General features: G+C 37.2%; 1 protein-coding gene across 40 annotated transcripts in view, besides 1 other annotated feature; it reads left to right on the top strand.

Annotated features, from left to right (window-relative positions):
* The window catches only part of TPK1 (thiamin pyrophosphokinase 1), a 384,497-nt gene that overhangs the window by 354,455 nt on the left and 17,869 nt on the right, over window positions 1-12,173 (top strand). The gene's annotated exons all lie outside the window — the stretch shown is intronic.
* Window positions 5,918-6,419: an enhancer, noted in NCBI's record as "NANOG hESC enhancer chr7:144172657-144173158 (GRCh37/hg19 assembly coordinates)". NCBI's record gives its function as "activates a minimal SCP1, AML or CMV promoter by ChIP-STARR-seq in primed H9 embryonic stem cells {active_cell/tissue: H9 hESC(primed)}" and the evidence as "EXISTENCE:reporter gene assay evidence [ECO:0000049][PMID:30033119]".

Here is a 12,173-nt window from a genome sequence, read left to right as displayed (position 1 = left end):
AGCTGTCAGAGTGTTCACAGTGCTTCATGGGATATGTTTCTAACTTTGCATTTCTTGTTCATGCATTCCAATATATGGACTTCTCTTTAAAAAATAAAATACCAGAGCAAGTCTTCGGAAGTATTCCCTAAATTGTCACGACCTAGTTTGGATAAGATTAAACTAAGGTAAAAATGATAATAAGATAATAAGAATGATTATTATGAGTGTATTTTTTTTTTCTTTTCAAAGTCTGTAAGGATCTTAAGGTGGAAAGAAATGTTAGAGAAACTGGCCATTATTTGAAAGACTTAAGTTTCCAAGGAAAGAAAACAAAATGTCAGTAAAGTGGAAAAATTGGTTCCAAAGCACAGGGAAATACATACATATTAACAAAACAGGCCAGGCACAGTGGCTCACGCCTGTAATCCCAGCACTTTGGGAGGCCAAGACAGTTGGATCACTTGAGCTCAGGAGTTCAAGACCAGCCTGGACAACATGGCAAAACTCCATCTCTACAAAAATTAGCTGGGTGTGGTGGTGCACACCTATAGTCCCAGCTACCCCGGAGGCTGAGGTGGGAGGATCACTTGAGCCCAGCAGTGAGCCGAGACTGTGCCACTGGACTGTAGCCTGGGCAACAGGCCAAAACTCTGTCTCAAAAAAACAAAGAAGAAAAACAAAACAAAACAAAAAATGGAAAGGCAAGGTAGTTAAAAGGTTACTGAAAAAGGCAATGGAAAGGGCACAAAAATAGAACAGATTAAGTTCTACATATGACGGTGTCATGCCTAGTGCAACAGGAAAAAAAAGTGATAGATAAAATCTACATTCAAATAAGAGCCTCCAAGCCTCAGTTCTAATCCCTGTTTTGCCACTGTATCCATTAGCTGTTGCTACAAAGATACTGTGTTTCATACTTCCTCAAAGCTCTGTGGTCCATAACAGTCATTTACTTGACTGCAGGGCAGTGCAGGTAAGATTTGGTTCATCTAAAGCTGAACTTCTGTACACAGCACCTGGTGCGTCATTGCTCTGCCTCTTAAAATAGATGTTTGGGTGTCTGACTGGCCATGCTCTTTAAGTCTCTGTTTGGACTTGGAGCTAACTTCTTCTCAAGGCAGTGGCAAACACTTAAGACAGCAAGCAGAAACATACAAAGTCCCCAAAGGCCTGGCTTCTGACCTGGCAATCTATCCTCTTTGGTCATATACCCAAATCAGTCATATGGCCGGCCCCACATCAAGAGACAGAGGAGTACACGCTGCTCACAAAGAGAACTCCTGAGAAATTGGACCTAACGTTGTACCTAAGAAAGCCTCCACGAAAGAAGGATAATATAGTTAAATTGATATTCTTATTTAAGTGAAATTCTTGAAACTCTAGGTCTTCAATAAACTTCAATAATAATGCATCAGAAATCTCAACCGAAGGAATGGATATTCTAGCTTTTACCCTCTACACTCCATTCCCTAATTTTTATACTCAAAAAGTGATCAACTTGTGGAAACCACATTACTTTTATTCTTTTCTTAAATTTGTCAGCTTTCACATATAGCTGTAGATATTTGAAAATATTTGTTGGAGACATGAGTGAATCAAGCTATCTTAGTCACAAGAGCTGAGCTCAGTGCTTTCCCAACCAAGAGCTCCCAAACTGAACCATTAACACCAGCTAGACATTTCCAAGGTATCAGTCTCACTTGAGCAGTTGACTTCATCAACCAACATAAATAGTTAAATGCTTTCAAAAAAAAAATTTAAAGTCTGGGTTTTCACTAGCAAAGGATTAGTAGTTATCATCTTAGTAGGGCAACAGCCTATTGAATGCTCGATGCAAAAAGCATTTTATTTCAATTCCTACTAGTATGCTGTATCATATTTGTTGAATATTCCCAAAATATTGTTTAATCCAACCACTCCTTATAAAAATGTTATGCAGTGACTCTCTACTGCTTAATAGTCTAGAATTCAAAGACTTCTTTATCTGGTTCTTTCTATCCTCATCAATCTTGTCTCTTGAAAGACAGTGCCACTTTACAGGATCATCAGTATTCGTGGTGACATTTGAATGCATGTTGTGGAATACTACTTTAATGGGAAAAGTTTACAAAGCTATTGGTGGAGCATCTCTTCTCCCTGTATTTCAACATCCAAGAATACACATTTTTCACAGAAAGCAGTTAGTAGTACACAGTAAATAGCAATTGCTTTAAAATGAGTAACTTTTAGTAGGTTTTAGGGAAAGACTAGAATAGCCAGAGGCAAGAAAAAAAATTGGGAAGATTACATATGTGACAGTCAGATGTATAGACAAACTTGAGTAAGTCACCGTTGCTTACGATAAACTTTGGTTCCAATCCTCAAATTCAAAAGTAGATTGAAAAAGAATGTATTACCCATAATTGCAAAAGGTGGTATTCTCATCTAGACTAAGTCATGGAGGCCGTACATGATAAAGGACTTGGTAACTGCTAATATTTATGCAAATATATTTGAAGGTGGTATGATTAATGATTCTTTATGTAAATGTCACTAACTTGTAATGTGTGTTTATTCATTAAATCTTATATTATCTAAAGAAAAAGGATTTGTATAGCAGGATAAACAATAGGTCATTTAAACTATTTGGATAAACAAATTATCTGAAAGAATTTTAGGGCACATTTACTTTCTTAAATTTATTGATAATTATTCAAATTAATTTGTTATAGCTTTCTGTAGCTCAGCTCCACATACCAAAAATTGGTATTCACTTATTTTTCTCTGTTTTTAAATCCCAAACCATGTTCTGACTAAACATTTTGTATTTTCAGTACTGAATAATTAAGAATTATTAGTAATGAGATTCAGGTCATTTGGGCTAAGATGCATTGTGGCTGTGCCTGTGCATGCAACCTGATTTGAATTATCTATTTTGACTCCTTAGATTCCTTTTTCTGAGTTGATTTGGTTGGATGGACTAACTGGACTTGTCAAGATAATCTAAATCAATTTGTGCACATATCACAAACGATCAAATTTGTTTAGCTAAAACATTTCTGTTGGTGACACGAAGATGATAGAGATTTGGTTCATGTTGCATTGGATTCACCTCTCCTTCTCCCACTGAAGTTTTTCTGGCTGCGGTCTTAAATAATGGAAAAATTAGAGAGATGAAATGGGGCTTGGAAAGTGAATAGGGTTGATTGCTTGGTTGTGGATTTGTGTTATTTTGTGATTATTTTTAATGCCTTTCTAGACAAGCCTGCAAACTTCTACAGGGTATTCAAGGGTAGTTGCTAATTTCTGGGTTTCTTTCATGAGAAGTGGTAGAAATATAAGCTGTTACCAATACTAATTTCTGAGGCCCCAGGGAATTGCCCCATCCAGGCAGTCTGGCCTAGTGCTCCCCACAACTATGGGAGCTAAATGGCCAACTCCCTTGTACGTTTGTACAGACATAAAGATCTTAGGGTTTGTGTTTCACTACCTTGTGGCAAGCACCCTGCCTAAATAGGTGGCCTTGATTTTTCTTCTCTGTTATTGCTCTAATGACTCCTAACATTGATTGAGAGGGCGATAAAATCCTCCTGCGAAGTAGAACTTGAAATGACAGTCCTCCATCAGGAGTATTGGGATAATGTCAGATAAATTACTGCCGATCCCATGCGCTGAAAAAAAAGGTAATATCTGAGTGTTTTTTTTTCTTCACCACCAAGAAATAAAAAGATCTTCAGAATTGTCATCTAGCCTAAACTTTGAGTCACAGTGTTAACTTTTGTTTTAGTTTGAGTCAAGTGCCTTTTCTTAGAGAAATTATATCATATTAGGATGACATTAGAGCAGCCATGTGGATAAAATTCTAGTCTTTTTCCCGGTTCAGTTGTAATAACGTTTGCAAGAGAAGGTGGTTGAATTTGCTGCCATCCTTAGCATCAGACTATATACAAGGATAATAACATATCACTGCTGCAATCTGAGTATCTACAGTTCAAGTGGAAAGAAAAGACATACAAATATAAATAATTCAAAGTAACATATATAAAAATAGTTTTCAAGCAGCTCAATGTTTCAGCATACTCATTGTCATTCAAACAGACTTGGGGTAGGGATGAGGGGTAACAGAGGATATACTTTTCTCTATCCTACAAAATTGGAACACACAGGAAAATAGACAGAAATATGAAATTAAATGATCATAATTTGCCCAAAATCTTCTGACCCAAAGACAACTACTGCTAGTATTTTGGTGTTTAGTCCAGTCTTTTTTCTCTATATATGTTAGATTTCTTAGAGAAGAAACTCCTATTTTTAATTTCATAACGTTTAAGTTTGTGTTCTTGGCTTTTCTTTGTTGTTTTGTTTTTAAGGAGCATAATTATTCAGCAGGTATTTACTATGCATTCCTTTGTGGCAGACATGATGTCAGGTACTGAGGGTCTAGGGGGAGGCTGCTGCTGAGGAAGCCAAGACTCCAGCAGACTGTCACCTGCTCCTGAGCCCACAGTCTACTGCAGGCCTCAGCCTATCAACAGGGAAGCTTTCTCTGCTCAGTACATTTTTTAACTCAAATATATGAGGCTTTACATTTTCCAGTTAAACATTCTCCTGTTACTTTTTAAAAATATATAACAGCTTTATTAAGACATAATTCAGAAACCATAAAATTATTTCTTTTAAAGTGTACAATACTTGAATCTTGATTCTTTGTTTAGTTTCTCTCTCCTAGTACTTTTTTTTTTTTAAGTTCCAGGGTACATGTACAGGATGTGCAGGCTTGTTACATAGGTAAATGTGTGCCATGGTGGTTTGCTGCACCTATCAACTCATCACCTAGGTAGGAAGCCCAGCATGCGTTAGCTGTTTTTCTTGATGCTCTCCCTACCCCCGACCCTCCCCAGTGTTTTTCTATTGAAGATCAGATTAACTTTACTGGTGTTCTTCCGAGACAGTGATAGGTAGTTGAATGAGGTAGTCTAAGGACAGACTCTTGCCCCATTCAAGGCCATTCCAAAGAGCCACTAACGAGTACTCTTTAGGAAAGGTATTTGATATCTCAAAATTCATATGTCTGTATAATCATTTAGCCCATACTTCACCGTGTTATTCTTGGTAATATACAAAATAGTCTCTGAAAGGCATATCATCACTCGAGAGTAATAGCTGGAAATTATTTTCAGTAATCTGAGTTGAGGAAACAGAACTTTATTTATTTTTGAGATGGAGTCTTGCTCTGTCACCCAGGCTGGAGTGCAGTGGTGCAATCTCGGCCCACTGCAACCTCCTTGGCTCACTGCAACCTCTGCCTCCCAGGTTCAAGCAATTCTCTGCCTCAGCCTCCCGAGTAGCTGGGATTACAGGCACCTGCCACCATGCCCGGCTAATTTTTTGTGTGTTTTTAGTAGAGATGGGGTTTCATAATCTTGGCCAGGATGGTCTTGAACTCCTGACCTCATGATCCACCCGCCTCAGCCTCCCAAAGTGCTGGGATTACAGATGTGAGCCACCGTGCCTGGCCGAGTAAACAGAACTTTAATATCATATCACGTATCTTGAGTTCAACTTCCAGTGTACAACACGTGAGATCATTTTCTGTGATGGAGAATGTGAGTGCCAAGTAAGTGTCCTGGAGTTGATGTCACAGCATCTTCTTCAGGCAGAAATCAACGCCTTTGCTTCCAGCATAGCTTTGAAGCCCCTTTTTGTTATTGAATTTGGCACATTTTGATACTTTGACCTTCCAGATCTTTAGCTTTCCTGTTTTTCCCATCTTTTAACATATTCACTTGAACTAAGGAAACCCTTCCATTTCTATTTTCCAATGGTGAGCCCGTCCTCAGAGTTCTGACTATGTAATAGCAATATTTCATCTGTTATAAAATGTAGAACCCTGTTGTTTGGAATTTTAACATGCTCTTTGTTGGTAATAGAGGACCTCATTGGTTGGGAGTGCTCTGAGCTAGCCTTCATGAGAATGCCAGAATATCCTCATGACCTCATTGTGACAACCAGAAATATATCACATCCATCTATGTTACCTGCATTTTATAGTTTATCTGGGTGATTTTTTTCTTTAACTTCCAAATTTGATTTTTAAGCCTCTTTTATGTAGTTTACAGGTTTCTTGCCAAATATTTTACTTGTATTGCATTTCAAGCCAGAAACCCAACTGAGTCTGCACTTAGTGAACTCTTTGTTTCCTATGTAGTCTCTTTTTGCATCTTGCATTCCAGCATAATTATCTTTTCTTAAAGGCAACATCATTAAAGTAACGCAGTGTCCATGCATCCTGTTGTATCTCTGTTCTTACACTAAGGAAAGATGTCTCCTAGTTGGTAAAAAAGTTTTTAATAGGATATGTTGGCAAACTGGCAGCTACCTTCTGGGGATTTTTTCCTATGCATTTACCAATATTTAGGCATAATGAGAAATAGATACTAATGCTTTTATTTTAGTAGAGATTTTTGAGGAGCTCAGAAAATTACATGAGTACTGTTATAGTGTAGTATAAATACAGTATCTCACTTCAATTTTCTCCCTTGGCTCAGTTCCCAAAAATTAAAGGGAGTTCCTTTCCTTATAATTTGTGTTAACAACCTATTGTTCCTCCAGCTGTCTTTAGCTCCTCTTTCCAGCATAAATTGATTCCAGTGGGAGAGAAGGCAAGATAGTAAATCAGTGCATCTATGCTTTTACTTCCCCTTTTGTTCTGTTCAACTCTATAATTATACTTCATTTTTGTAAAGCAGCAGATTTTCAAATTTAAATCTCATGAATTTCAATATTTATACATGTACGTAATAGGAAAAAGGACTTAACTGCTCTCCCTCTCAATTCACACCTACAAACTAATATTTGCTATAATAAGATAAAGGCAAATCCTTTTCTGAAAAAGGTGATAGGGATTACCAAGTAACATTGTCTATAATTTTACCTTTTCAGAAATGGATGAGTGAACATTTTTGAGAAAGAGGAAGTAAAAATATTTTTTTCTTATTCTTCCCTACAGTTAGTATGACGAGGTAAAGCCCTCTAGAGGCCTTCAGATCTAGGAAAAATGCCCCTACCTGCTTTAAAGCCCCAGCTAGGCCACAGTTACCAGCAAAAATAATTATTTGGGCATCACTGTTATGACCTCTCTGGGCACATTTAATCAGTCAGTATTTATGGAGTATATTTCATGTGCCAGGCACTGGTTTAGGTGGTAGAAAAATGATAATACTCAACATATATTGAACTCTTTTTCTTATACCAGGAAATCTGCTAAGGATTTTTCAGGATACTTTCCTATCTAATACTATTATTATTTCAGAGGGAAGAAGCAAGGATGAATCTTAGGTGGCAGAACAGATGTCTGTCCTTCAGGGGGAGATTTAACCTCTGTGAGCTCCAGTTTCCAAATATGAATCACATTAATAATACCTACTTTATCAGGTTGTTGTAATAGATGACGTAATTCAGGTAAAGCTATAAGCCAATGCAGAACTATTTTTAAAATTAGGAAATCCAGAGAAGTGAGGCTCTACTCCATATCAGTCACAGTTGTAGGCACTGAGAATACACATTGCACTGAGGGAAAATGAAGTCACTGATGATCTTAGTAGTTTTAGTGCAGTAATAGAGGTGGAACCTACACTGCAGCAGGTTATGAAATGAATGGAAATTGAAGGGTAGATAAGTAATTCCAGTGTTTGGGCTCTGAAGTGGGGAAGAGAGAGAGATTGATAACTGAAAGGGACTTGGAGTGGGAGAGAGAGTAAAATGGAACAGCCTTGAACACATCTAAGTGTTCATAGAAATAAATAAGATGATGAGAACTGTTTGAAGGAACAGGAGAGAGTGATGATAATCTGTAGATCAAAGCTGTGAGACAGTAAGGGAAGTGAGATCCAGAACCCTGGACAGAGGAGATGTCTACATTTCTATTACAACCACAAGAAGGGAGGAATTGACTGGATGAGGCTGTAGATACTGGCGTGAATGCTGAGAAGATGTGGAGCAAGTTCTTATTGGGCTTGTTTTCCCTGAGAAGATGGGGTAAAGTCATATGCTCAAAGTAGATAGGCATTAGGCATTTGGAAAGGTAGGAGGTTTTAGTGTGTAGGTTTTTAAATAGTAGCTAGCAAGAACTTAATAATTAACTAGGAAAGCAGAAAGATTGACCCAACTGTGGATCTAGATGAAGCTGAGTGCACTCTCTGTATCCTTTTTTATACGCACAGTGGTGATAAATAAAGACAAACCAAAAGAGAATAAATCAAGGCTATTTATTCAGTTTCTTGCAGAGTAACTCATTTCAGCGGAGATTCAAAGGCAGGGAAAGAAATGGGAATGCTGTGTAGTGGAGAAAGGGATGGCTTCTGATGTACCCTAATTGGAGTCTGTTGGCCCAAAGAAGCTGCAGGCAGGCTGACTGGAAGCAAGCATCCTACGCGATAGGTTAGAGGAGCATATTTGGCTTTCTCTGGTTGGTGCTAAAGTTAGCAGTGGAGCCAAAAATTAGGGAAGTTGTCAGCTTTCAGTTAAGTCATGGCCATTTGGGGCAAATTGTTGCAGAAATTATTGTTTGGTTTTCTGTGTTCTGAATCCCTGCAAGTCTGACTTATCGTGGGCTGATTTCCCAGGCTAGTTGTTGTAGATAAGGGATTGGTTTCCTGGGCACGTTTCTACAGTTTTGGGGTCAGAATTCTATTTTTTATATGATCTTGCCATTGTCCATTTGGCAAGATCATATAAAATTGTCCAGATAAAGTTTCCTACCACTTTTATTATTATTATTGAAACTTGAAATGACCTTCTGTTTAGAAACCCTTGTTCCTTTAGTTAAAAGAATATAGAATCTGAGAGACAGATGAGACTCAGGAAATAATCAGTAATGGAATGGAAGTAAGGGAATTTGTGGGAATACCATTCAAGAAATTAACATGTAATTTTAACCTGCGCAGTAAAGGAAAAATTTAAGAAACTGCATCACCTTGTTTTGAGCCTTGGTCAAGGTAAACCCAAGCTATGTGATATGGTTTGGCTCTGTGTCCCCATCCAAATCTCCTGTAAATTTGTAACCCCACGTATCAGGGGAGGGGCCTGGTGGGAGGTGATTGAATCATGGGGGCGAACTTCCCCCTTAGTGTTCTCCACATAGAGTTCTCACAAGATCTGGTTGTTTGAAAGTGTGTAGCACTTCCCCCTTTGTTCTCTCTGTTACTGCCATGTGACAAAGGTGCTTGCTTCCCGTTTGCCCTTCTGCCATGATTGTACATTTCCTGAGGCCTCCCAGCCATGTTTCCTATATATCCTGCAGAACTTTGAGTCAATTAAACCTCTTTTCTTTATAAACTACCCAGTCTCAGGTAGTTCTTTATAGCAATGTGAGAATGGACCAATATACTTGAAAGTGGAACTTCAGGCCAGATCTCTCAGACCAATGGACTAGAAGATAGAGACTTAAGAAATAAGTGACTTGCTTGGGCTTGGACTTGAACCCAGTGCTCATTCATTTTCATTGACCTGAGAAGTAACCATTACATCAATCATGTTGAAAATTTCTTTATCAAATTTGGAATTGGAAAGTTTGAGTAATGCAAAACATCGACCTAAACGCTTCATTAATTACTCCACAGAGCTGTCTAAAACCATAATAAACTTACCTGTTGTTCATTGTAGCTGTTTACAGGCTTAAGAAAGTTTAAGGAGAATGTAACCTTATAAATGTTTAACCATAAGGGATGATAAATGTTAGGATTAATGGTATGTCAGAGTGTGCATATTTTTAGGATTCTATGTTGAGATTGGAGAAATTCCCGTTACTATAAAATATTTGAGGGGCAATTTACCTGATAAGAGAAACAAGGGTGTATTACCATTGATTGATTATATAGTAAACCCTTACCTTGTCTCTCTTCACATAATGAATTTCTTTTTTCCTTACAGCCTGATAAGAAAATTTAATGGGATGCTTCCATCAGTAATAAAACCACTGAGCCATATAGAAAGTGGTTTTTGCATCTTTCCCAAAGTGTGGGAAATACCTTGATATCAGCTGGAAAGAGTCATTACTTCCACATTAAAGTTGTGCTAAAGTGAAAGCTTAACAAGCACTTAGTTTATCAGAAACACAGTAGCATTTTCCAAAGCTCCATCCATGGATGCATTGTATTCTAAGGGTGAGAGGTAATCTGAAGTTGCTCATGATCTCAAAGGGCAGGGAGACCTATGAAAAGGGAACAAGTGGGAAACAAGGATCTAGCCATTGAACCCAGTGTTCCTTTTCCCCCCAGTGCTTCTGAACACACCCATATAAGGTGCCCTAGAAGCAATATTAAATAATTCTGGAAAGCCTGGGAGTGGTGTGCTTCAATCAGCAATCACCAGTTAAGGAAATGCTGAGTTCTAGGAAAGGGGCCTCCTTTGAAGTCATTTAGAGACCCTTGACCAGGGAGCTTAGGGAGAATAAATACCAAAGGAGTTTGGGTTTTTTTATGTCTTGGCTGTCTGGGTGAATTATCTGAGATGTAGACCCAGGGCCTGGATGAAGGTTTGCAGAGCAGACATCTTTATTTGGATACACACTTATTCATTCAATAAATATTTACAGTAAGTCTGCTATGTAGTAATTGTAATCTATAATTAGGATATTTTCTTTGAGTATGCTAAATATACAGGAATAATAGAGAACAGAGCAAACCTGGTCTCTCCTGGGCTCACATGATTCTGAGTAATGAACAAACTGTAGCAATAATACTCAATATTAATACTTTTGTTTAATGTAATAACTAGGGTGCTACCTTTATGGAATTCTCTGTTTTTAATGGAATTTCTCAAATTGGCATACTGTTTTCTACTAATTGAGAACACCCCTTGCATAACTGTAACATAGCCTTCATTGTTTTTTGTTTTTTTAATCTCTAAACAAAATGTTTTATTTGGTAGAACAGAATTGCAGTTGCCCTCATTCTTTTTAATACAGTTCTTTACTAATAACACCAAGGCCCTAATTTTGCACACACACACTGAACCCTTAATTCTGCCTAGGAGCCCTGCTGGTAGTTGTTATAATGCCAAAGTCTTGAACTATGGAACTTGGCAAATCTGTTACCATAATGAATTAGTACCAAAATGATTGGGGTAGCACATTTTAGCATTCTTATTGAATGCTTGCTTATTCCAATGTTTCTTACCTTTATTAAACCCATGAATCTTTTTTTTCTTTTTTACTAAACGTAAGATCACACGTAATATCAGAATGTTCACAATAAATTTCGTACTTAGAAAGTAACACAATTATAATTTTAGGATTTTTTTTCAAACTATATATACAACTCCCTACTCTTAAGAATTACTCTTGTACATAATAAAGCATTTGAATGTCTTTGTAGATTATAGAAACTTGGCCTTTTTCATCGTATTTACAAAGTGTTAAAACATTTCCAGGGAGTAGAAAGGGACAGAGATTTCAAGCATCCTAAAATGGCAATTAAAGCACCAAGTAGAAATTTTCTGTAGTCTTTGAAAATGAGACAGGATTTTAAAATGTAATATTTTTCTTTCTCATGGTAATTATTATCATCTCTTAAGCCTCAAATGTCATAAATTAGCTATACTGGAGGAACCTAGGCCTGAAGTTAGTCTGTTACTTTTCTATTTTCTTATTATCCTCTTAACTATTTTCCAGGCTGAGTAAATTCTTTGTACACTGGATTTGTGGCTAAATCAAAACAGAAAGTAGATCCTTCTATCTTTGCATTTTAGAAATGAGTAACACATATCACATACCAGAGTGTATCTTTTGCAATTATTCACAAGCAACATGTTTGAAGGTTGAACCACATACAGTCAATTGTACTGTTAAAAATTTAATGCTTTTGCCTGCAGAATGTGCCAGTATATTAATTCAGTGGTGCCTTAAAGTTTTGCATTTGAGAGTCATGAGCTTACATCACTAAGCCTGGTAGATATCTGTCTAATAAGGTTCAATATGTTTAATATATGAGCCTCTTTTTTAAAAGAGTAAAGATAACTTTTTACTTTGATTTTATAGATTTTTTTCGTGAGATATAAAATCATTTATATAAGCAACGTCATCTCATGCTAAAACACAGCACTATTCTTGCATTGCACATTAAAAGACCCATATAAGACTACTGTTTAAAAAAGCAGTCTGAATTTGTAGCACAGTTTTTTGTTTGTTTTGTTTTGTTTGAGATGGAGTCTCA

This window comes from Homo sapiens, chromosome 7 (assembly GCF_000001405.40).
Source record: "Homo sapiens chromosome 7, GRCh38.p14 Primary Assembly".
In the NCBI taxonomy this organism is placed as follows: Eukaryota; Metazoa; Chordata; class Mammalia; order Primates; family Hominidae; genus Homo; species Homo sapiens.
Note: the sequence above shows the minus strand (reverse complement) of the source record. Positions and strands in the feature narration are given on the sequence as shown.